The 25,969-nt window shown below is 48.2% G+C and overlaps 2 protein-coding genes across 7 annotated transcripts in view, besides 2 other annotated features; one reads left to right on the forward strand and one right to left on the reverse strand.

Annotated features, from left to right (window-relative positions):
* The window catches only part of TBL1X (transducin beta like 1 X-linked), a 256,446-nt gene extending 237,419 nt beyond the window's left edge, over window positions 1-19,027 (forward strand). For all 4 annotated transcript variants that reach the window (NM_001139468.1, NM_001139466.1, NM_001139467.1 and 1 more), the window contains 6 exons: window positions 4,280-4,401; window positions 8,535-8,609; window positions 8,920-9,047; window positions 10,898-11,063; window positions 14,189-14,290; window positions 15,507-19,027. In NM_001139468.1, the coding sequence (NP_001132940.1) occupies window positions 4,280-4,401; window positions 8,535-8,609; window positions 8,920-9,047; window positions 10,898-11,063; window positions 14,189-14,290; window positions 15,507-15,533 (620 nt within the window). In that variant the 3' untranslated portion in view covers window positions 15,534-19,027. The remainder of the gene's footprint in view (window positions 1-4,279; window positions 4,402-8,534; window positions 8,610-8,919; window positions 9,048-10,897; window positions 11,064-14,188; window positions 14,291-15,506) is intronic.
* Window positions 7,046-7,703: an enhancer, noted in NCBI's record as "H3K27ac-H3K4me1 hESC enhancer chrX:9675799-9676456 (GRCh37/hg19 assembly coordinates)". NCBI's record gives its function as "activates a minimal SCP1, AML or CMV promoter by ChIP-STARR-seq in primed H9 embryonic stem cells {active_cell/tissue: H9 hESC(primed)}" and the evidence as "EXISTENCE:reporter gene assay evidence [ECO:0000049][PMID:30033119]".
* Window positions 7,704-8,360: an enhancer, noted in NCBI's record as "H3K27ac hESC enhancer chrX:9676457-9677113 (GRCh37/hg19 assembly coordinates)". NCBI's record gives its function as "activates a minimal SCP1, AML or CMV promoter by ChIP-STARR-seq in primed H9 embryonic stem cells {active_cell/tissue: H9 hESC(primed)}" and the evidence as "EXISTENCE:reporter gene assay evidence [ECO:0000049][PMID:30033119]".
* The window catches only part of GPR143 (G protein-coupled receptor 143), a 53,257-nt gene continuing 51,920 nt past the window's right edge, over window positions 24,633-25,969 (reverse strand). For 2 of the 3 annotated variants that reach the window (XM_024452388.2, NM_000273.3), the window contains exon 9: window positions 24,633-25,127. In XM_024452388.2, coding sequence (XP_024308156.1) covers window positions 25,033-25,127 — 95 coding nt within the window. In that variant the 3' untranslated portion in view covers window positions 24,633-25,032. Of the gene's footprint in view, window positions 25,264-25,969 lie in introns of all 3 variants that reach the window. The other variant, NM_001440781.1, reaches the window with a different exon arrangement.

Consider the following 25,969-nt stretch of genomic DNA (forward strand, 5'->3'; position numbering starts at 1 on the left):
TGCCTTGCCCCACTAGCTTTTCCCCAGTAACACCTCGTGGGGGCGCCCTTGGTCACCGTCGGCAGGAAGCCTTAGCTCAGAGCCTCGTGGTGGAGTGAAACTCGGCCGCAGAAAGGAATGAACTATTGATGCACGACAGCCAGGAGAGATCTCAAGGGCATTTTGCCGAGTGACAAAAGCCAGTCTCAGAAGGTTGCATGCTCTGTGCTTTCATTGATGTAACGTTCTCATAATGCTAAAATGCTAGAAACCTGGGACCCGTCAGTGCTGTGGGAGTTGAGGGAGCATGTGAGGAGGTTGTGTGCCGATACAGTAGCTGAGGGAGATCTTAGTGGCGACGGAACACTTCTGGGTCTCAGTTGCAGCGATACACATCTACCCATGTGATAAAATGACAGCACTCTACAGGCAAATTGCACCAGTGTCAGCTTGCCAGCGTCGATACAACGCTACGGCTACGCGAAATGTAACCCTCAGGAGAACCTGGGTGAAGGAGACACAGGACCTCTCTGTGTTACCTTTGCAGCTTCCTGTAAATCTCTAAGTATTTCAAAAGGAAACTGACTGGCTGGGCCCAGAAGAATGAGGGCTATTGAACCAAACTGGCCTATGCATGGGAGGGAGGGCACAGAGGCCCCCAGTGTAGCTCAGCCCTCTTACCGGCCATTCACCCACATGGTTCCAAGCATTGTGGCTGCAGGAGCTGACTCAGAGTGGGGCTAACCACCTGAGCACGGGGGAGCCTCTCTTTAGATCAGGAATGTCCAGTCTTTTGGTTTCCCTGGGCCACATTGAAAGAAGAATTGTCTTGGGCCACACATAAAATACGCTAACACTAACAATAGCTTGATGAGCTAAAAAAAAAAAAAAAAAAAAAAAAAAAGAAGAAGAAAAAGAAAACAACTCTTAATGTTTTGAGAGAGTTTACAGATTTGTGTTGGGCCACATTCAAAGCCATCCTGGACCGCGGGTTGAACCAGCTTGCTTTAGATGGAGGAGTCATCAGATGCTGGTCGCCATCTCTTGGACCGCTCACCAGATTGTCACATTTCCAGGTATATTAATCACATGCCGAAATGCAGAGGCTGGACCAGAAGTTTGCTGTTTAGCTCAGGCGATGTTGTAAACGAGAACGAAGAAAATGCGTCAAGAACTGTGGGGCTGTCATGAAACACGCTGCTGGGGATGGAACAGAAGAGATGATCTCAGATGTGGAAAAGACCATTGCTGACACCCGCGTCCTCCCACCCACACCTTCCGCCTGCAGGGGGAGCTGGATGGGGAAGCGAATGGGGTCCCTGTGCTTATGGAGGATAAACACATGGAGGCTTGCACCTCTTATTTGAAGACCGAGGAAGAATAGGGGCAATTGATGGTTAGTATTCAGAGAAAGCTGGATTCTTCTCAGTTCAGCGCTGACTGCCTTTAAGAAACACACATGGCTGGGTGCGTTGGCTCATTCCTGTAATCCCAGCACTTTGGGAGGCCAAGGTGGGAGAATCACTTGAGCCCAGGAGTTTGAGACCAGCCAGGGCAACACACCAAAACCCCATCTCTGCCAAAAACATCTTTGAAAAAATGAGCCAGGCTTGGTGGCGTGCACCTGTCATCCCAGCTACTAGGGAGGCTGAGGTGGGAGAATCACCTGAGCCCAGGAGATTGAGGGTACAGTGAGCCAAGATTGTGCCACTGCACTCCAGCTTGGGTGACAGAGTGAGATCCTGTCTCAAAAAAAAAAAAAAAAAAACTGGGCATGGTGGCACACATGTATAGTCCCAGCTACTCGAGAGACTGAGGCAGGAGGATTGCTTGAGCCCAGGAGTTCGAGGCTGCAGCGAGCTATGATTGTGCCACTGCACTCCAGCCTGGGCAACAGCAAGACTTCATCTCCAAGAAAAAAAAAAAAAAAAAACTCACATAAGATGAGTTTCTATATTGGTCGATTGGTAAGGACATGGTGGCCAGAGCCTGGCAGAAGCTAACCCTCTCTTTCCCCTAGAAGCAATGCTTCATTATTGGCTAATTCAGTGTTTACAGCTACCTTGGAGAACATAACTTGGCAAATAACAGAATGGACCATAGTATCTAGGAAAACCAATGAGAGTTCTTGGCTGGGCACACTTGTAGAGTTGCCCTAACCCTGCTGCCTCCTCTCCTGGGGGCATCATGGAGCCCACTCAGTAGCTAAAAGTAATTTCCATGGGCTTGCATGGGAAGCGCAGGGTTACGAGAGGTGGTCAGATGCGGACGACTAGCTCTCGAAGTCCCAAGCTCTCTGCCCCGTAAGGCATTACCCCCTTAAATTAGCATGAACCCTGGGAAGGGAGGCACTGTCCCTCCATTTCACATGTAATGGAGCACAGTACTTTTCACACCCCTAAATCATTCCTTTTGATAGTCAGGGTTCCGGACACGGGGCTGGTTGTGGAGGTCCTCTCCACACAAGAAGCCTCATGATGATCCTTAATAAGAGGGTGGGGTTGCTCAGAACCTTCAGGGGAAGGGAAGAGATCACCAGAGAAGGGAAGGGAAGAGATCACCAGAGAAGGGAAGGGAAGAGATCACCAGAGAAGGGAAGGGAAGAGATCACCAGAGAAGGGAAGGGAAGAGATCACCAGAGAAGCCGCCTCTTCCCCTGTGCCCTTCTGTCTCGGCATCGCATGGCCTTTTCTGCTGCTCATCAGTTCTCTGGCATGAGGTGGGAAGAAGCCCAGGGAACATGATCTGCTGGTGTGGCCCCCGCAGTGGAAAGAGACCGGAGACCTGAGCACAGCGCCCTTCCTGGCCCCTAGGAAGGCGGGTGACCCCTGCAGTCCGTGGACGCCTGAGAGGAGGTGGAACAGATGCTCGCTCCCAGCCGCAGACCCACTCTCTGCTAGAGGACAGGAGTGAGCAGTTGAAGCCATGCTTCCCCAGAAGCAGAAGAGGATGAGAGTGCACGGGGGCCCCCACCGTGGGAACTTCCACACCTCCAGCGCACTCCCTGTCCCGGGCACTGCTGATCTCCTGAGATGCCTCGGCTCTCTCCCCCTTGTCTGGGGCTGCTTGCAACATCCACATCTGTAGCTGAGACTCCAGGAAGCCGTCAACCTGCAGCTGCACATCAGTAAAGAGGCAGAACGAGGAATGAGGTCCATTTGCTAGGACTTCAGTGCCCTTGCTGTCACCTGTGCTTCCAGTGCCTCTCAGGGCATGGTCCAGCCCTGTGGAGGCAGACGCTCTGAGGACAGAACCAGGGCCTGGCTTTTAGCGAGTGCCTTGGCCATTTTGGTACATTGGGAAGTTGTTGGATTCCCAGCTGCCATCCTAGAAAATAAATCAGAAGGTAGAGAATGAGACCCATAGCTGTAACTAAACTACAAGGGGAGGTCAGCTCCCCGTTGTTCTGTCTTTGTGACCCTGAACCACCTGGACCTGAGAAAGGCCCAAAGTCAGGGAGGGTGTCGGTCACAGGCCCTGAAGTGTGCGTTCCGTTTCATCCCAAAGGGGTTTTTATTGACCCTAATTATCCCCTAGTCAAGGGGATGCCTTAATGTGTTACAGGAGAGTTTTTTTCATATTGAGGTATCTTGAACATAGGACATGAAATCTTTCCTCTCCTTTTTTCTCCTCTTTGTCCAAAATTAAATCAAATGAGCTCACTGCAGAGATGCCGCTGGAAGCAGCAAGGTACAGAGCAGGCAGGGCGGCCCTCTCACCTGCCCTTCTTAACTGTGCCATGGGAGCGGGAGATTCTGCAGGCTGTGGGGTGCAAGAAGTGTCACGGAGCCTCTCTCCCAGGACATCTTGTCATCCCTGCCAACGTGGCAGGAGAGGGTCTTTAAGGTCTTAGAAAGAGACTGTGTTCACGCTTGAGACGTTTTTATCATGTTACTAAATGGGGCTTCTTGGCTGGGTGCAATGGCTCACGCCTATAACCCTAACACTTTGGGAGGCCGAGGCGGGTAGATAGTTTGAAGTCAGGAGTTCAAGGCCATCCTGGGCAATATAGCAAGAACTCGTCTCTGCAAAAAAAAAAAAAAATTTAAATTAGCTAGGCGTGATGGCATGCGCTATTCAGAAGGCTGAGGTGGGTGGATCCCTTGAGCCCAGGAATTCTAGGCTGCGTTGAGCCATGATCGCACCACTACACTCCAGCCTGGGTGACAGAGCAGGCCCTGTCTCTAGAATAAATAAATAAGTAAACTAAAGAGGCTTCTTGATTGTGCTGTTCATTGTTGTAAATCCATGGAGCTGTGCAACAGTGAGTAACTCCAGATGTCCTCCCTCCCTACTGCAGCCCCTGCCCTTGATGTGGACTGGCAGAACAACACGACCTTTGCCTCCTGTAGCACAGACATGTGTATCCATGTGTGCAGGCTCGGCTGTGACCGCCCAGTCAAAACCTTCCAGGGACACACAGTAAGTGAGAGCTCTTGTCACTGGTCTCGAGTTTGTGAGAATGTGATGTGGGAGCCGATTCTTGTGTGCCTAGAATTAAAAGCTACTGCAGCAGCAGACCAGCTCTAATGTGCCCCTTGGCTATTTGAGCTGTCATGGTTACCCCATGGTAACCATGGTGGTTGGATTGACTCAGTTTGGGGTTGGCAGTGAGAACAGTTCACTCAGAAATGACCTAGATGGTGGATTTGGCAACAAAGCCTTTAAGGTAGCCATGAGAAACATGTAGAGGACATCAAGGAAAGGATGCTCACAATAAATGAATAGACGGGGCACATCTGCAGTGAATAGAAAAAAAAATCATTAAAAAACAAATGGAGACTAAGTGTGGTGGCTTATGCCTATAATCCCAGCACTTTGGGAGTCTGAGGCCAGAGGATTGCTTGAGGCCAGGAGTTTGAGGCCAGCCTGAGCAACATAGCAAGACTCTGTCTCTACAAAAAATTTTAAAAAGTAGCTGCGTATGGTGATGCACACCTGTAGTCACATCCCAGGAGCTGAAGGCTGCAGTGAGTTACAGTAGCACCACTGCACTCCAGCCTAGGCAACAGAGCAAGACCTTGTCTCTTTAAAAAAAAAAAAAAAAAAAAGAAAAGAAATTGAGAACTGAGAAATATAATGTCTGAAATGAAAGTCTTAATAGGTGGGTGTATTAGGCAGTTCTCAATTCTCTCATTGCTCTAAAGAAATACCTGAGACTGGGTAATTGATAAGACAGGAGGTTTAACTGGCTCACAGTTCCTTAGGCTATACAGGAAGCATGGCAGCATCTGCTTCTGGGGAGGCTTCAGGAGGCTTCCAACCATGGCAGGAGGTGAAGCAGGAGCAGGCACCTCACATGGCCAGAGCAGGGGCAAGAGGTGGGAGGAGTGGGGGGGGTGTCACATACTTTTAAAGGACAAAAACTCACGAAGACAGCAAGCCACGAGGGATCTGCCCCCATGATCCGGACACCTCCCACGAGGCCCCACCTCTGCATCAGGGATGACAGTTCCACCTGAGATTTGGGTGGGGACACCGATCCTAAACCACATCCGTGGATTTACCAGCAGATGGGAGATTGCGGAAGTAAGGTTAGAGAGCATAGAAATTGGCCAATTTGAAGAACAGATAAAAGATCGAAAAAATGCATAAAGGCTTAATGGCTTATGGAACAATATCAGAGACCCTAAACCTATATGCGTGATGGGGAGAGAAGAAAGAATGGAACAGAAAAATCATTTGAGGCAGTAACAGCCAAGTTTTCCTAAATTTGGTGGAAAACATCAACATTTAATCCAAGAAGCTCAGCAAATTTCAAGCAGAACAAATATAAACAGAACCACACAAACAGAACAGACCATATCCACCTAGGCATATGGCCATCAAACACCAGAATCAATGACAGAGAAAATCCTAAAGGCAAGCAGAGGCTGACAAATCCATTATATACCAGGGAACAACAATGGGAACAACAGCTGACTTAGCAAATTCCTTAGTTTGGCCTCTGAGGCGCTTCCCGGTCTTTCACCAAATCTCCCTCAGATTAGCCAATTTCTATGGTCTCTAACCTTCTGCAATCTCCAGTCTGCTGGTAAACCCATTTACTAGCCTCGACCTCCTGGGCTAGTGTCCAAAAATTCCCTGTGCCTCTGTCCTCCTAAAGACACGTGCAGCCAAGCACCTTGCCCCGCGCTGAGCCCTGCCTGGAATGCTCCCTGCCTTAGACCCCCACAGCAGCTCTCGGTCCAAAACAGAATCCTCCCCAGTCTCCAGGCCCATTCACGTATCCTCTGCACGCCCTGGGGAGGATTCACGGCACCCCCTGAGCTCCTACTGCCCACATGAATGCCACAGCCCTGGCAGTAGCTGCTGGCCTGCGTGTCTGCCTCTCCCAGAAAACGCAGAGTGCATCAATGCTGGGACCATGGCATCTTGCCTTTCTCTCACCAGCACCCAGGATATCTCTGTGGTGGGGCAGGGTGGGGGTCCCTTGTTAAAGCAGGAGAGGATGGTCACAGTCCCTGGAGATTTGCCATTGTGCCACTAACTTAACTGATGTAAATTCCCTTGTCCTGATTCCCCTAATGCCCACCTCTCCCCACCCCTGGCCCAGGGGTCCCTGTCCCAAAGGAAGGCGCTTTTAGAGCACAGGCACCTATCGTCCTGTTAACATCTGTTTGGCTCCAAACTGACTCTCTTCTCCCGGTCTAAACTTATTTCTCCTCTAACCCTGGACTATCCACAAGTTTTTAATAGAGCTGTACACACTATCTGCAGTTCCCAGGTGTCCTGCCCAGGACCTTGCCACCAGCACAGGCCTTGGCCCTTTAAGTGGGTCTTAATGTGGCTGATGGCCCTGAACAAAGCTCCAGCTCAGTGGGGTTGAGTGGAGACCCATGAGCCGGCTCTGGAGGCGGCCCAGGAACCGGGGCTTGCATTGCAGAGCTAGGGATCCGCTCCCAGGAAGTTATTTGTTCCTTTGCATGGGCTTGGCTAGGGACAGCCAGTGGTGACCAGCTCTACATTCCTGGGCCCATGAGTTTTCCTCTGAACAGCTGCAGTCAGAGCCACCCTTGCTGGCCTTGCATACACATTCACACTCATAGACACCCATGCGTGTGCACACTCACAACCCTCAGCCCCCTCTCCAGTCGGCCCCCTCCACCCTCCCGGGCTCTCGCAGCAGCCTGCCCCTGGGCCGCGAAACTTCTTCCTCCTCCCTTTCCTGGGCCACGTGTGCCTCATGGAACACAGATGTGGCCTTGTCACTGTCCAGTTCACACCCTTCAAAACTCCATGTTCTTAGAAAGCAACCTGACCATACAGTTAATCCAAACCGGAGCCCTTAGGAGTATGAAATTTAGAAAATTCATTATGAGTGTGTCATTAGTTAATTGTTAGGCCGGGACAGCAGGTGTCACATGGTGGGACTGGACTGGACATATGGGGCCCTATAGTCACCCCTGAGGGAGCCCCAAGCTGGTACGCCATGTCCCCTCATTTCTCCTGGGTAGGCTGTTCCCCAGCTGAACCTTTGCCACAGGTGGTTCTTTTACACATGCCTGTCCCGGTAGTGTCCCCGTCTCCCTTGGCCCCTGGGTACATTCATTCACCTTTATCCTCCAGGGTTTAGCCTCGTGGTCCCCAGGTGTCCTGAGCCTGTGCTTTTCGCTACCTGGCTGTGCCGATCACGAGCCCCCAGCCAGGATTTTGCCTGTGTCATGTGTGTTTGTGCCACTCAGCATTTGCCTCTCACTTGTGTTGCACATGTGTGCCTGCCTGTGTGTGCATTTGGGTCGCCCATCTTCCACCTGGATCAGCCCTTACCCCGCTTGAACTCCGTAATAGGTGAGGGTTCACTTCTCATGTTTACCCCTCCCTCCGCCTCCACTCACCTGCAGGAGAGAAATACCTTCTAATGGGTGTGGACACTGGAGGAACTGTTACATTAAAAGTGCATAAGAGGCCTGGCATGGTGGCTCACGCCTGTAATCCCAGCACTTTGGGAGGTCGAGGTGGGAGGATCACTTGAGCCCAAGAGTTCAAGACCAGCTTGGGCAAAAATCCCAAAAAAAAAAAAAAAAAAAAAGGGCATGGTGGTGCCTGCCTGTAGTCCCAGCTACTTGGGAGGGTGAGGCAAGAGGATTGCTTGAGTTTAAGAGGTACATGCTGCAAGGACCTGTGATCCTGCCACTGCACTCCAGCCCGGGAGACAGAGTGAGACCCTGTCTGAAAAAGAAAAGTGCATAGGAAAGTGATTTTCAAAGGCCAATTTAAAAAGTAACTGGTTTTACTGGTTTTATTTGCTGCGTTTTATGGTATGTGATTTCTTCACTTGCCTTCCTTCCTAGCAGGGAAGGTTTTTTTCTTAATGAAGTATGGATGAGAGTGGCTGGTGTTGTGTGGTATAGGGCTGTGGTTTTATATAAATGAAAAAGGCAAAGTGAGAAAAAGAGGAAACTAGATGGCTGGTTGGGCTGTGCCCTTTGATGTCAGGCTGAAGCCGAAGACCTTCTGCAGCGCCGGTGGCGCGCTGCTGCCCCCTGCTGGAAGGTGACCTCATCTACTCACAGGCCCTGATGTCTTTTTCACACTCTTCTGCTCTCTTTCAGAACGAGGTCAACGCCATCAAATGGGATCCGTCTGGAATGTTGCTGGCATCCTGCTCGGATGACATGACATTGAAGGTAGAGTCGGCATGGCAAGGGGTGGGCTGTTTAATCCTAGACAACCCCGGGCACTTGATGCCAGTCTCACGGTCACTCTTACATGAGGATTATTTATTACTGACCACCCTCCCTTCCTCTGTCATCCGGTGAGCTACGATTTCTCAGTCATAGTCCCACTGAGAATCGCAGCCTCCCTGCAGCCTTTCTCACCACTGTGCACCCTCCACCCTGCCCTGGGCCCCGTGTGCACCCCCGGGAGGAATGATTCCACATCGTTCCCGGATGCAGGAATGGCTTTTGCTCATGTTGTGTCTGGTGTGTTCTGTAGATCTGGAGCATGAAACAGGAGGTGTGCATCCATGATCTTCAGGCTCACAATAAAGAGATCTACACCATCAAGTGGAGCCCCACTGGGCCCGCCACCAGCAACCCAAACTCCAACATCATGTTGGCAAGGTAAGGGCAGGCAACACAGCTGGCACAGCTCGGTGTTACACAAAGACAACAGGAAATTCTGCTAAAGCGCGTCCATGCACGTGTGTTGAAGCCCTTCAGAGGAAGCAAAGCGGTAGCTCACTTTGAAGGGGCCAGGATAGAATTACCGAGTAACACCTGCCTTTGAGGTAAGGATGGTTTTGAGTCAGGCACAGTGGCTTACGCCTATAATCTCAGCACCCTGGGAGGCCAAGGCAGGACGATGGCTTGAGCCCAAGAGTTCAACATCAGCCTGGGCAACATGGTGAAACCCCATCTCTACAAAAACTTAGCCAGGCGTGGTGACGTGTGCCTGTAGTCCCAGCTACTCAGGAGGCTGAGGCAGGAGGATGGCTTGAGCCCAGGAGATTGAGGCTGCAGTGCGCGGTGATCACACCACTGCACTCCAGCCTGGGTGACAGAGCAAGACCATGTCTCAAAAAAAAAAAAAAAAAAAACAGAAGAAGAAAAAAAACCACCCAACATGACTGCAGAGCCACAGTTGAGGGACAGCAAGCCAGGCAGCACCAACTCCTGTTGACGGTGCTCGAATTAAGGTCATCTCTTAGAGAGGACAGGATGGAATTCCTGCATCCACTGAGAGACGGAACCAAAAAAACAAAGAACACATAGGCCGTAATTCTCATATTTCAAGTAATTGTCATAAAATCCACTTAAAGTACTGTGATATAGTGTGATATAGTACTACACACTCGAGTTGTTTTGTGATGACTCAGAAGGTGCTTTTGCGTCGCGTGGTACTATTAGGAGCATAAATTATCCTTTTAGTCAGCAAGTATAAAAGGGGCATCCCGGTACCTAATGGGTCCCTGTTGAAAGAAAGCAAGCCAGACAATAGCTTTGTGATAGATATTACTGTTCTAAGTTTGAAAATAACTAAAATTTGCAGCTTTCAATAATGTGATTACGTATGTGGATGTGATTGTATTTTAATTCTTGTTTGATTAAAATTTATTTTCTATTTAGAGACAGGGTCTCCCTATGTTACCCAGGCTGGTCTTGAACTCCTGGCTTCAAGTGATCCTCCCACCTTGGCCTCCCAAAGTACTAGGATTACAGGCATGATCTACTGTACCTGGCCTAAAAAGTTTTTTAAATGTTTATTCACTTAATTTGCTATTTTTCCAAATATGGCTGTCTGTATTAATTTAGTTGGTAATAATAGATGTCATGTTTTAAATTGTAGGGGCATTTTAGGAAACTTGATAAATATTCTACAAAAATATTTACCATTTACGTCTATAGGAAACATAGAAACAGGGCTGGGCGCAGTGGCTTACACCTGTAATCCCAACAGTTTGGTAGGGTGAGGCAGGAGGATCTCTTGAGCCCAGAGGTTCAAGACCAGCCTGGGCAACACAGTGAAACCCCGTCTCTACAAAAAATAAAAAAATAAAAATTAGCCGGGTGTGGACCTATGGTTGCAGCTTCTCTGCTGAGGCTGAGGCGGGAGGATCACTTGAGCCCAGGAGTTCGAGGCTGCAGTGAGTCATGATCACGCCACTGCACTCCAGCCTGGGCAACACAGTAAGACCCCATCTCAAAAAAAAAAAAAAAGGTGCAGAAACAAATGTAGATATCAAATTGTTTCCCTAATAAGACCATTAAAGCTTTTTTTCTGTTTAATGACTATGGCTTTGTTTTTAATACTTGTAAGTAGTTACAGTTTAGAAGACAAAAAGCTTTTTAGTTATTATCTTTTGAAACGTAAAAGCTGGGAAAAACAACTCCTGGAGATCTGATACACATTATGGAGAACTGTTTGAAACCACCGTGTGTATGTGATTTTGCTTTCTCTCCCACCTTGCTAGTGCTTCGTTTGATTCTACGGTGCGACTGTGGGACATAGAACGAGGCGTCTGCACCCACACGCTCACGAAGCATCAGGAGCCTGTCTATAGCGTAGCTTTCAGCCCTGATGGGAAGTACTTGGCCAGTGGATCCTTCGACAAGTGCGTCCATATCTGGAATACTCAGGTAAGCTCCCGACCCCTACACCAAATCCTTTTAGTAAGGGATGCCCAAATAGCCACGACTCCAGTGCCCTTGGCTCAGAGCAGTGCCCCGGAGGGAGTTGAGCAAGCTCAGGCTCCCCGGGCAGACCCAGTGGATGCTGTCCACGTGCACCCCACGTGGGCTGTCAGCTCTTCCCCCACCAGACACCTCCGGCAGCTCCCCTCCCTGAGGAAGGGCGTCGTGTCCACCGTAATCATGGCTCTTGGCCATTTGATTCCAAACCCTCACCTTGGCACACGTTCTTCCTTGAAGGAGCCGCTGTCTTCTGTTCACTTTTCTGAGTCCATGGCACGAAACCTTCCACCTGCCTCTTCCTCTTCTTAGCAGTTATCACCGAAGTGCTGCTCTCTAGATACTGAGGTTAGAAGGTGGGAGTGGGGGACCAGCTAACGGGGTCAAGGCCACACCAGCTCCTGCAGCTCCCTTACGGAGCAGACCAGGGAGTGGGAAGGAATGTGCTCTTGCTGTTGTCATGCCACTTCAATTTTTCTTTTCTGTTTTGTTTTGTTGTTGTTGTTTTTTGTTTTTGTTTTTGTTTTTGAGACGGAGTCTCACTCTGTCACCCAGGCTGGAGTGCAGTGGCGCGATCTTGGCTCACTGCAACCTCTGCCTCCCAGATTCAAGCAAGTCTCCTGCCTCAGCCTCCTGAATAGCTGGAATTACAGGCACCCGCCATCATGCCCAGCTTATTTTTGTATTTTTAGTAGAGACAGGGTTTCACATGTTGGCCAGGATGGTCTTGAACTCCTGACCTCAGGTGATCCGCCCACTTTTGCCTCCCAAAGTGCTGGGATTACAGGTGTGAGCCACCGTGCCTAGCCTCAATTTTTCAAATCAAAGTAGGTTCTGTTTGAGGACATAAGGTATGTCAATATTGGGTTGTCCTTTTAGCAGGGATTGAAAGGACATAGGATTTAAATAAAGGTGGCTGCTGTGGGTATCTTGGGCCACACCTGAGGATAGAAGAATTCCAGCTGTAAAGTGTAGAAATGGATGGGAAGTAGCACTGCATAGCATAAAGGATTGTATAGGGCCATCAGCACGTGATTCTAGTCTAAGGGAAGAGAGAGGTGATAATATGCTAGGAGCTGTTGAAAATAAGGAAGGGGTCCCTTTCGCCTCAGGAGGGGAGGAATCACACAGCCTTCCCCCTGCCCCCTTTCATCTGCACTGCCTTCTTGGTTCCTTTTGGCTTGGTTGACATTCAGGTGGATTTATACCCTCAAGTTCATTCCCCCTGTGGACTCAATGGTGATGAGCCCTGTTCACTGGCAAGGGGTCCACTGAGATCACAGGCTTCCCAGGGACCTCATGTGAACCACATCCTCTCAGGGAAGGAAGGGAAATGGTGGACCCTGCGTAGAGCCAACCCGACGCCAAGCCCAGCCCCACAGCCCTAGATAGCTCTCCGGGAAGCACGCATCTCAGCACTAGTGTCCAAGAGTCTCCGTTCCTGAAATCCTCGCTAGAAATAGTAATGGGTGGATTTGTAAAAAGAACACATCAATTATCAAAACAATGACATGATCAGTTAGGTACAGCCTGTTGTCAGGAACTCACTGAACTGTTTCAACCCTTTTTTATAAATCAAAGAAATCCTTAGGACTTTTCTTTTTTTTTTTTTTTTTTGGATCGGAGTTTCACTCTCGTCACCCAGGCTGGAGTACAGTGATGCCATCTCGGCCCACTGCGACCTCTGCCTCCCGGGTTTGAGCGATTCTCCTGCCTCAGCCTCCCGAGTAGCTGGGATTACAGGTGCGCACCACCACAGCCGGCTAACTTTTGTATTTTTAGTACAAACGGGGTCTCACCATGTTGGCCAGGCTGGTGTTGAACTCCTGACCCCAGGCAATCTACCCACCTCGGCCTCCCAAAGTGCTGGGATTACAGGCATGAGCCACCGCGCCCGGCCAAGAAATCCTTAGGAATTTTCTTAAGAGAAATCTTAAAGCCCACTTTAATCTTTCTCCAAGTATAAAAATACTTATCTGTAATACTGCCGACACACACCTTTCTCAGTTCATGGAACACCACCCTTTAAGGGGCCCAATTGAGCAGAGGATTTGGGACAGCCCTCCTGGTCTCGGTGTTCAGATTTCTCCTGCCTGTCACCATAGTGAATCATGAGTGAAGGCTTATTCGACTCTTTCTCTCTTTTTTATTTTTTAAAATTAATTTTTGTAGAGACGAAGTCTCACTGTGTTGCCCAGGCTAGTCTTGAACTCTTGGGCTCAATCCGTCCTCCCGCCTCGGCCTCCCAAAGTGCTGGGATTACAGGGTGAGCCACCTCGCCTGGCCTTATTCAACTCTTTCAAAGGCCTCAACTTCCCCTACCTCTTAGATTTGTCAAGTTAATGCTGTTTTAAACCGGAAACCAATGGTCTGTGGTGTTTTCCATTACATGTATATTATGCATTTCTTCTTTCAAATGTCCAAAAATACGTACATTTTAATGTCATGGCATATTATTACATTTAATCATGAATTACAGTCAATTTAATTGCTACTGGGGTGGGTGTATTCATTATGTTGTATTCATTCAGGTCCTCCAAAGAACAGACACCAGAACAGGATTAGATGGGCGAGAGATTTATTGGGGGAAAGAGCTGTGATGGAAACAGGGAGGAAGGTAGGGGGAAGGGAGAATTCAGACCATAAGGCCAGTCTGACCCTGGGAAGGAGACGGGAAGGGTAGGAAGAGTCAGGGATGGCCCTTACAGGTCTGTAGAAAGTTTTGGTCGTGCTGATGGAGAGTCCATGAGCCACTTACCCACCAGATGAGTCTGAGTCTCAGCAGGTGACTGCCATGGTCTCCCGCCTCCATCAGTCCTCAGCTGGGTGCAGCCTCAGAATCCACGCAAATGTGGCAGATTCCGCAGGCATAAGTAATCAGGTTCACTCCTCGTGGTGGGAAGTCCTAGAGGCACATCTCCATGGCCCCCAGAGTCCTTACTGAAAACCCTTAAATTTCACCATGCTTGAAAATGTTCATGACGAAACGTCAGGGCCGGAGGAGCGCACATTCCACACCTGCATCTGTCGCAGGCGCCCCTTGCGTTGTAAGTGACAGCTGCTTTGCTTTGCAGAGTGGAAATCTTGTCCACAGCTACCGAGGCACTGGCGGCATCTTCGAGGTGTGCTGGAACGCCCGAGGAGACAAAGTGGGTGCCAGCGCGTCCGACGGCTCTGTAAGCAACACCTCTGGTTTGCTGGGGAGTGGGGTGTTGGGGGCAGCTGATGCCTAAGTGAGCTTCCAGGGCGTGTGCAGCATTCGTGTCCTGAAGGGCCTAGCCCAGTGCCAAAGGAAGCTTCTGGGCTGGATCCCATCGGAGTTGGTACCACATCTGGGAATGGCCTTCTCCTTGTCCCTTCCAGAGTGTCCTTCTAGTCAACATTTTCTCAGTCAAATTGGTGGTTCTCAACCAGGGTGATTCTGCACCTCTAAGGACATTAGACAATATCTGGAGCCATTTTAGGTTGTCACTACAGTCATGTGTCGCTTAATGACGGGAACGTTTTGGGAAATGTGTCATTAGGCACTTTTATCTTTGTCTGAACATCATAGAGTGACTGACACAAACCTAGATGATAATACCTGTCCCACACCGAGGCTGTGTGGTACAGCCTATTGCTCCCAGGCTACAAACCTGGACAGCGGGTGACCATACTGATTCCTGTAGGCAACCAGAACACAATGGTAAGCATTTGTGCGTCCGGATCTATCTAAACATAGAAAAGGTTCAGCAGATATATGGTTATAATCTTACAGGACCACTGCGGTCTGTGCGGTGCGTTGTTGCTGGAAACGTCATTATGTGACGCGTGACTGTGCTTAGATGAGGATGCTGCTAAACCTCCTACTGTGCACAGGGTGGCCACAATTGTCACCCATGCTGTGGCTGAGAAGCCCGGGCCTCTGGTGGCCATCCTGCAGGTCTCCTGGGCCCTCTTCTCTTCCCATGGGGCATCTGGATTTCTTATTTTCCCCTGGACTTGAGGTTGCCCTGACCTCTGGGGCAAGCGGCCGTTCTGGCTGAACGGCCAAGGGTCAGAGTAGTCCCCAAATGTTGTCAGAGGCTGTGTACTTGGGCTCGTATTGTCATCTGCCCCACGATTGCAGGTGTCCCTTCTGGGACCTCTGCCACTCTGTTAATTCCTATCATTACCCTTAACCTGGCCTTTCTGCTCTGTGCTGTTTGCTTCAGTTTGCTCGGTCCGATGTCCAGATGCCAGTCTGTTATGAGAGCTTCTCTGACCCTTCATGACGATGTTCCAATAAACTTTACTGACAAACATCGGTGGAGGGCTAGATTGGGCGTGGGGGCCGTAGCTTGCCGACTTCTCACTCTAAAGGCATCTTTGTATTGTCTCTCAAGATGACAGGTGCTTTATCTTTCCTTCCAGGTGTGTGTTTTGGATCTGCGGAAGTAACCACAAAATATTATCGAAAAAAGAAAAGAATTCTAATGACCAGCCGTGAATGTGTAGGGTTGCAGCTCTATTCTCCAAAACTGTAGGAACTTGACTTGCGTTAGAGTGTACTCTGAAACCAACTCGTCTCTGGCCGCAGGAGTCTATATGTTTTCGTAATCTTCATCAAGAAGTTTTTAAAAGGCAAGCAAAAACAGAAGCAAATCATATCAAACGGGGATAGAATGGTTTCCACTGAGGACATTCAGCCTGGGAAGGAGGAAGTCACCAGCTCGAGGCGTGTGGATTGGTTTCCACCCGGAACAGGCTCTGTGATGGCTGAATGGAAAGAAACGTAAAAAGCTGTGCCAAAAAAAAAGCAAAATGCTGTGATAAACCAAACAGGGAAGGGGGAAAAACCCTCCTCCTTGGGATTTTTTTTTTTTGTTTTCCCTAACAATTTGGACACTACAATTGCTCTCACAAAGGAGGTTCAAAGACCAGTTTGTACCGATGAAACGCGCAACTTTGTAATCCCAACACTTTCTATTTTCTAGAATCTTCTTTGTTCATTGGGTGGTTTTTCAGTCGGCTGGAATTCTATCTTCTGGGGGCCTTCCGTCTGAGATGGAAGCTGTCTTGGGCTTGTTGTCTCTTCCTTCTGTTGCTCCCTGCCCCTCCCCCTGCCTTTCCACTCTGTCTGGTGAGCTCTGCTTTTTCAGTGCACCATCAAGAGATGCAGCCCCGTGGACATGAAGACACAATCTCCCACGGACAGCTTTCCCCCTTCCGCCCTCTCCCACCCTCTCCTCCCCTTGCGCTCGCGCTCGCGCTCGCTTTCTCACTGGCGTGCTCTCTTTCTCTCTCTCTCTCCCTCTGTACCTTTCTCATAGTTGCTTCAGATCTTAGGTCTCAAGGGCACTTTGGCGCGTAGTAAGTGCTTTATGTAAGAAGGCAGGGCAGGGGGGCTTTTTACAGGAGAAAAAAAAATGACTTATAAGAGAAAGAGCCTGGAGTATTTTTGGAAAAAAAAATAATATTTTTATGTTAAAACAATTTTAAAATCTTAAAATGGCCATCAGACATAGAGAGCTTTGTGTGATTCATGTTTTAAAAAGAACCGAAGAAGCCACAGGCAGGGCCTGAGGGAGCCCCTGGCTTTCCCCTCAGCCTCAGGAAAGGTGGTCAGGAAAACTCTGGCTGGACAAGGGTCAGTCTTCGGGGTCAGCAGCGAGATTGCTCTGCAGCCAGTGAGGGAGGTCCCCGCCATGCCGGCTGGAAGAAGAACCTCGCATCTTTTGGTGTGTATGCACCTTGGCAGCCAGCAGGAAAGCAGCGAAGAGCCGCGCGCCCTCTGGCCTCAAGGGAGCATTGGCAGAACCATAAGGTACTGCAGAAGCCGTCGAAACCGACTGCTCGGCTGGATTAGGCGTGTTGGCTACATCTTTCCCACAACCGTATAACGACCGATGGTCATTTCTCCAAGAGCAGGCTTGGCGAGTCCTTGCAGAGCTGACATAGAGGCGCCCGCATGTCACTTAGTCTAACGCTGACAGAAATGAATGCAGAAGGAAGATTTTCAGTCCTGAACGTGAATTATAGAGGTAGAACGTCGCTAATAATTTCTGCCATCTTTATAATTTCTTTGTCTCACAGAAGACTAGGAGAAAGATCTTTTTTAAATAATCTTTTTGCTGTTTTTAAAAAATTAAACAAGGCTTTGTGTTCCTAGAAGAGCTTCATTTCAGTGAATCTGGTGACCTCCATCTGCTTGCTGTCATAACCCGACACGGACTTATTTTTGTCATTAGCAAGGGGGAAAAGGCCAAAGGACAAGGGCCTCTTCTCCCATTGGTTTTCCTGTGGGCAGAAGGGCTGAGGAAGATGGCCCAGCCCGTGGGGGCTGCTGGGTCACCAGCAGTGGGTAGGGTGCAATCTGGTGTGTGTTCCAGCAGTGAGACGGTGTTATTGTGAAGGTGGCATTCATCTGCGGAGCCAAAACCCAGCCATCGGGGAAGGGTCAGGGCTTCTGTGGAACTTGGAACGTGCCAGGACCACCTGCAAAAGCCAGGGTGCGTTGATCATTCTCAGATCATTGATTGGCCTCCACTTGGGTATGTGAATTATTCATGTCCCAGAAGACCAAAAAGTGCTCTGGTTCTGAGATGAGTATTTTATTCGTGTTCTGTTTCCGAAACACTTAGCAAAGAAGGTCACAGTGATGTGGAGTCGCCGCACCCATCTTTGAAGATAGCCAGTGTCCCTGGATGAGGTGATGATTTCCCGTCCCAAGGACTCTGTGAAGTTTAGAGTACAGTTTGTTGGGGTCCAAAAGACACCATCTCTACCCCACCCAAATAAAAATGCACTCATCTCTGTAGAACATCTGCTGTCAAAGGCCAGCCTGTCGTTAGGGCATGGCTTATGCTTGACAAACCAGTAACAACTGTGGGATGGCGATGGTGGGATGTGTCGCAAGCAATTCACTAGACAATCTTCACATGAATGTCGGTAGCCAGGGTCTCTCCCGAGGGATGGCTTTAGTCTTGATGAATGTGAACCATGTCGGAATTGTTAGGTAGAAACCTGGGCTGGGAGGCCTCGGACCCCAGGCTCCATCCCTGGCTTCCCCAGCCTGCGGCCGCAAGCAAAACCAAGCGCGAGATGCAGCTAGCACCCTTCATATCCATCCCCGTTCTCAGCGGGACAACACCATGGACAGCCGTTTTCAGAGCCTCCAGCATTTGCACACCACTACTCACCCTCTCTGCTGCTGGCATGTTGGTAGAGTCATCCCTGTAATCAAGAAATGGCCTGTGGAATGTTATTGTTCAACGTTGTTTACAGCTCTTAAAACATGGTGAGGAATGCCTAAGTCTTAGTGACCAAACGTGACCTTGAAAGCAGACATAGCATGACAGACCTTCCTAGAGTGTTTGGTCGGGTTCACAGTGACCGAGAGTCAGGTCCAGCACACACCTGGGAAAGGGATGCTGCCCCAAGGGGGACCAAAAGGGCCGGACGTTACAGGGTGAAACCCTCTGACCCCTCGCGACACCGTAGGACTTGACTTTTGTTTAGTCTTTCTAAGAAATAGATCATGGAGCCAAGTGAAGTGCACTTTGTCAAATGTAAGGGTCTGCTTTGTTCTTGTTGCTTTTCTGTTTTTTAACCTTTTGTTCCGCCATTTAAAAAAAGAAAAAAAAAAAGCTTATGTTTCTTGTCAAATGCAGAAATGTTCCTTCCGCCACTCACTGAAGTTTTGCATTCTGGCTTGTGCAGTTTTTATTGTCTGTGTCAGACGTACAGCCAGACATGTTCTCTATTGGCATTTTTCCGATTCTGTTCAGATGACAGCGACCGCCTTTTCATTCCCCCCGCCACCTGTACTCACCCTCACGCTCTTTGAAGAAAAAAAAAAAAATCACCTTGTGTGTTGTAGCTCATTTGTTTCAAGAGAGAATCAACAGATCATATTCAGTGTCTTGAATAAATTGCTCTATTTTGATATTAGAGAACTTGGTGGGTGTGCTTTCTTCCTCTCGCTCTGGAACTCTTGGGCCCACGTTGACTGAATGACTGAAGACAGAGCTCTGTATTTTCTCCAGAAGGAAGTACCTTGAGCCTCTGTTTAGGATTGCTGTGTGAGATAGGGAGCTGGGAGCAGAACGCAGTGACATGGCAGTCACAGCAGCCGCCTGCTGTTCTGAAAGGTGGTTCTGTCCAGGGATCATGTTTTTTAGTGTGTTTCCTTTTCATTCTTTATTTCAGGCTGGCTGTTGGAGAAAGACAAAGCAAATGAATGTTCTCTCATCAGCGGATTGGTTGACCGGGAGTTTGAGTTCCCGAATTACCCCCGAGTAATTTGCAGAACCTAACAGGATGGGGTGACTTTGGACATGGACGTCTGCATGGTGCAAACCAACATGTGGCAAACATTTATTGACATTTGCTCTGTGCATGTCTTCATTTATGCTGCTTTAATTAATTAGGTGGCTGTTAAATAATGTAATTAGTGAATGGATATTGCTATCGGCATTCTATGAAGGAGGCTGTAGATTCCGAGAGGCGAAGAGATGGCCTTACTCTTAGTCTAAGGTTTCACTTTGCAGATGAGTCCCAGACAAAGTCACGGTGTCATTTCCCTCTAATCCTGCTTGTTCCGCACTAGGACAAAGCAGATGGCTAGGGGCGTAGAGGCTTCTGTGGTGATTCCCTGGGAAAGATCCAAGTGTGCCTGTGACCTTCACTGATGATCCGGACTTTTGCAGGAACCAAATCCCAAATTCAAGTCTTGAATTGGCAACTGAAGACTGAATATTATATGAGCAGTTGTCACCTTTAGAGAAAAACTTACCCTATCTTCCGGTGTTTTCTGGGGTTCACCTTCTCATTTTCATTTTTCTCTTTAGCCCCTGCCAAGTGGAGCAAGTGTGTTGCCAGGTGGTGGATTTGGGGCACCCTGAGGGGTACTGCAGAACCCTGGGACAGCTCGGGAAGAACCGCATGGAAACAGTGGGCAGACAACAAAGCATGCGGCAGTTCCCAGGATAAATGCACGTGTGGCGGGTGGCTTTGGTGGCTCCCCTAAGAATGCCGTTGACGTATGACTGGCTCTAAGTGGGTTTCTTTGTGATATAGAGGAAAGTTGATTGGGACCACGATTGCCAGAATTTATATAACTTAAATCTTCAGATGGATGGAACCCTTCCCCGCAGTGCGTCTCAAAAGGTTCCCCCAGTCCATTGAAGCTCCTCCTTTATTTTAGGAATCTAAGTTTCAACTCACTAAACAGAGATCTCGCTTTTTTTTTTAAATTGCCCCATCTTGGTGCTGTTTCAAAAGGATATCAGAGAACATTATTCATGTTCACAGAAAGCTCTCTGCACAAGTTCTGTCTGGAAGCTGGCTGTTGATGATGGCTGTCTGGTGGAAACCTGGAAGTCCCTTGTGAAGTACAGGAAAAGGGTAGGAGGGGGAGGAGAACAGATTTATGCCCTTAAAAAAGATGTCTGAGCCAGTTTTTGTCCAGTCTGGGTCCTTTGTCTCTGAAGTGTCTCATCCACAGCACGGTAAGTAAGGCAAGAAGTTCAGTCTGGAGAATAGAGAAGGAACAGTGGGTTCGGGGAGGAGGATGTTGTCTGTAGGACCACCCTTCAGCTAGAATGTGAAGCAAATGCTCTGGAGAATGGACGCTTTGGTTAGGAACAGTTATCCTTATGCAAAAGGTACTTATCTTGAGACACTGTGGGAAACAAACAGCTGGGTGTATGCGTTCTTCCGTAAAAACATACCTGCACGTGATGATATCTTACTGTGAAATGGGGGAAATTAGTAGGCTACTAAAAAGTTTTTTACCCTGAGCAACATGGTGAGACCCTCATCTCTACATAAAAATTAGCTGGGCATGGTGGCGAGTGCCTGTGATCTCAGCTACTTGGGAGGCTGAAGATCACTTGAGCCCAGAAAATCGAGGCTGCAACGAACCATGATGGCGCCACTGCACTCCAGCCTGGGTGACACAGCAAGACCCTGTCTTCCTCTTTTTTTTTTTTTTTTTTTTTTTGAGACAGGGTCTTGCTCTGTCACCGAGGGTGGACTGCAGTGGTGCTATCCTGGTTCACCGTAGCCTCTGCCTCCCAGGCTCAAGCAATTCTAGTGTCTCAGCCTCCCAAGTAGCTGGGATACAGGTGTGTGCCACCATGCCCAGCTAATTTTTGTATGTTTAGTAGAGATGGTTTTTTGCCAGCTTGGCCAGGCTGGTCTTGAACTCCTGGCCTCAAGTGATCCACCCACCTCAGCCTTTCAAAGTACTAAGATTAAAGGTGTGAGCCACCGTGCCCCGCTGACCCTGTCTCTTAAAAGAAATTGATGGTGGGATTGATAAACTGGCCAGTAAATTAAAATCAAGTGAAAGCTATCTGATGGGAAGAGTCTCCCCTTTCCACCCAAACTCTGCTCCCAGCTACACCTCTGTTGTTGCCTCCTTGTCACAGGCCAACCCAAACTCCTGGCTGTAGATCCTAGTTCCTTCTCACTTCTTCAAGAACTTTCCTTCCATCATCATCATCGCTTTCTCTCCACTGGATCATTCCTGTAGCACCCCAAGGTACTTGAGCACCTGCCATCTTTAAACGGTAACAGAACAAGCACATCCCCTGCAGTAACCAGCCTTACAGGGAAGTCACTCAGAACCAAGGCTGGCCATCATCTCAGTTCATCATTTGTTTGCTCAGTTGTCTCCTCATTCCCTAGATTGCCTTAATACACATCCTGATGATAATGTTTCTGTCCCCAGTACCTAGGCCTGGCCCAGTGCCTCACCCTCTCACTCAGCTCAGCTCACCAGGTTAAAGACATATGCATGAGTATCAGCTGGTGATGCCTGGTGCCCCATCTGGGAGTCCTTATCTTGGCTGGATACTCAGATCTCAGGGTTCTTGTTTGAAAGCTTCAGAACCTGACTCTAGCTAATGTAAGCCCAAAGGAATGAATGAGCCAGATATTGGGCAGCTTTAAGAAACTGGAGAACTGGGCTCAGAGGCCAAACAGACAGGAACCGCCAAGAGCAGGCTGCAGGACTAGGCTCATGAAGATGACAGAGATGGAACTGGGTGCTGCCCACACCCCGATACTGGATGCTGCCCACACCCCGATACTGGATGCTGGACTGGCCCTGGAGGCACACCCAATGCTACCTGCCAAAGTGGGCCTGCCTGCTGCCAAGGCTTCAGAAGTGTTTCTCTGCAGTCCATTCCCTGAGGCACAAGCTTCTAACATGTAAGACATGCCTGATTGGCTCTGTCAGGTCACGTGCCTTGCTCTAGCTGCAAGGGAGGCTGGAAAAGCCAGCAGCTGGCCTCTTTGGTTTTTGAATGGGGTGGTGGGACTGCCTCATCAGGTAAGAGGGGATCCTCAAACAGAGGAAGGGCTTCTGATCCTGAGGGAGAGGGCAGACAGAATGGCACTACTGAGCTGAAGGATGCAGATTCCCCTAGAAAATCTAAAACTTCACATCTCCTTGATACCTTTGATCAACGTCAGTGTGGCCTAGCCCAGGCTCGTCCTGGGAAAGTGAAGCAATGGTTATCCAGAGAGCTGGGACAGCCCTGGGCAGACACTACCTCATGGTGTGTTCACAATCCATCTACAGCCTTGTTGACTTCAGACGTGCAAATGCAGAACCTTGCTGGACTCTTGTAGAAGAAAAGGAGTCCTAATCTTGATATGAAGCGAGGTGTCACATGGCAGAGCTGTCTGCAGTGTCCTGAGAAGATAGTGTGTCTTGCTTTTCTATATACATGCTGGTGGATTGTAATCCCCCTGCATGCTGCAACATTTTGGGGAGGGAAAAAAAAAGCTTCAAAAAGTTCATGGACATACATATTATGGAAAAACTATACATGGATTTCAAAAATGTCTTGCCTCAAAATAAACTCATACTAATTTGTTAGAACCTCTCTTAACAGGATCTAGTTTGAGGCACTAAGAATGATAAGATATCAACCTGAAAAGAGCCTCTATCAGAGCAACATAAATTGTTAAAATTGAAACAAGAACAAGCATCAAATTTATGGTGAAGTTTGAATGGACTTGATGAATAGTTTATGGGCACAGTGCCCTAAAGACATCAGTTTACAAATGGTGGATAACTCATTTTAAGAATGGATGAGATGATGTTGAAGATGAAGCCCACCATGGCAAACCATCCACATCAAGTTGTGATGAAAAAATTTATCTTGTTCATGCCCTAATTGAAGAGGACCAGCAATTAACAGTACAGACAGACAATAGCCAACACCGTAGACATCTCAACTGGTTAAGCTTATGTAATTCTGACTGAAACATTAAAATTGAGCAAATTTTGCACTCTATGGGTGCCAAAACTGTTGCACCCAGGTCAGCTGCAGACAAGAGCTGAGCTTTTGATGGAAATTTTAACCAAATGGGATCAAGATCCTGAAGCATTTCTTTGAAGAATTGTAACAGGAGATGAAGCATGGATTTCCCATTACCATCCTGAAGACAAAGCACAATCAAAGCAATGACTACCAGGAGGCAAAAGTAGTCCAGTCAAGGCAAAGCAGACTGGCCAAGACCAGAGGTCAGAGCAACAGTTTTTCAGGATGCTCAAGGCATTTTGCTTGTTGACTTTCTGGAGGGCCAAAGAACAGTAACATCTTATTATGAGAATGTTTTGAGAAAATTAGCCAAAGCTTTAGCAGAAAAATGTCCTGGAAAGCTTTGCCAGGGAGTCCACCACAGCAATGCTTCCGCTCATTCCTCTCATCAAATGGGCAATTCTGCAAGAGTTTCGGTGGGAAATCATTAGACATCCACCTTACAGTCCTGATTTGCCTCCTTCTGACTTATTTTTCTTTCCTAATCCTTAAAGGGCACCCATTTTTCTTCAGTTAATAGTGTAAAAAAGACTGCACTGACATGGTTAAATTCCCAGGACCCTCGGTTCTTTAGGGATGGACTACATGGCTGGTGTCATCACTTACAAAGTATCTTGACCTTGATGGAGCCTATGTTGAGAAATAGCGTTTGTTTTTTATCTTTTCATTTCATTTTTCAATGAACTTTTTGAAGTTCCCTCATATATCTTAACTGATGGAAATATGGGCATTAGTCAGGTTCCAAGTATTCCTTAGACTATGTCATTACTCAACACAGCATGAAGCTCAATTCCTGAGCAAAGTCATGCTGTCTTCTCTGCCCCCTAGTGTGTGTTAGGAGGCCAGGCTGTGCTGCTGCTCCACGGGGCCCTGGTTCCCTATTCATCCTGCTGCATCTCTACCTTGCTGCTGTTTGGCATCATCAATAAGCTTAGTCAAGAGCATTTCCTCTAGAAATCACATCTTTACTGCACCTTTTCTATGTTTAGGTATGTTTAGATACAAAACTACCACTGTGGTACAGTTGTCTACAGTATTTGGTACAGTCACATGATGTTCAGGTTTGTAGCATAGGAGCCATAGGCTCTACCGTATAGCATAAGTGTGCTGTAGCCTGTACCATCTAGGTTTGTGTAACTGTGCTCTATGGTATTCACACAACAGTGATACCACCTAGCGATATATTTCTCAGAACTCATCCCCATCATTAAGCAATGCATAACTGTACATGTATTTATTTTCTTTTGCTAGAAGTGTTAAGACAGAATCCAAGTCAGGCTGAGAGCTCAGTCATAACTATTTTATTTAACTACTTCCCCAAGGATGTGGACCTTACACTTACTTTACAGCCAGCCTCAGAAAACTTCCTAGTGGCAACTAAGGCTAGAGCAGCTGTAGAGTGGTCTGGAGGGGGCTCTTCCATTCTCACACGTGTGTGCATGAACCCTTTCTCCTATCCTAAAGGCCCTTCGGGAAGAAGCTCTAGCTGGTGATGAGAGCAAGGTTTGGGGGCCGCTACACTTCGGCAGTGCAGTGTTGGGAAGGTGAGAACACAGTTCTAAAGAACAAGAATTGTTGAGTCTGAGGAATATGGGGTCTGGACCCCCAGCACATCCCCTTCATAGGTCTCCATGGGTTGGGAGAGCAGGGTCACCCTCATTTTTGTTGCAGGATTCACTTGCAGTGTGAATTTCAATTGTGCTGGCATCAGAACCTGGAGAGGAAAAGACAAAAGACTGACTGTGTCTGTGTCCTAGCAGGTTTGTCATCAGCTTCAGAAAATGCTCAGTATTCAGTGCATGGAGTTTTTCATGGACCAACTTTGGTCAAAGTCCTAGCATTCATCTCATCTGCAAAAAAAAAAAAAAAAAAAAAAAAAGGTGGGAGGGGTGGAAATCTACATCAACTTTCCATCTACATTTTATTAAATCATTACAACGGATGACACAAGCCCTACAGAATCATCTAGGCCAGTTGATTGATAGGTGACTGCGGCACAGATGCTGCAGGTGACACAACTGTTGGTTTAGGAAGATTTCAGAGCCCCAGGACACGTGCTGTCTGATGCAGGAGCAGAACACACTCTTGTGACCACTGGTGCAGCTTCTACTGAGGATGGTAACTAACACAACAGGGACCCTATGGTTGCCTGGCTACCTACACTCAATTCTAGGAAGTGCCCAAAGGGAGGGAGACCACCGCTCTGTAAAACTATGCCATCTCCCAATTGTCTTTTCATGGACGATGCCATATGGTTTCAGCAAGTAGCTCCTCCCTGTCAGCATCTAACTCTACTCATGGAAAACTCATCTCTCAATGCCCAACTAAATACACAGTAGTACATGCCTGGTAACTCTGTCAAATTGGGCTCATTTTTTCTGATTGTGACCCTAGATATGATGATAAAGTGATGAATGATATTTTTGTAAATACCAGAATATATTTGTCCAAATATGCTCAGCATTCCCTTCATGAGAAATCGCTGGAGACATTTTTCTCAGGCCTGGATTTCATGGCAGTTTGCTTCCGTGCCCAATGTTTTCTTTTAAATCATGA

This window comes from Homo sapiens, chromosome X (genome assembly GCF_000001405.40).
Source record: "Homo sapiens chromosome X, GRCh38.p14 Primary Assembly".
Taxonomy (NCBI): Eukaryota; Metazoa; Chordata; class Mammalia; order Primates; family Hominidae; genus Homo; species Homo sapiens.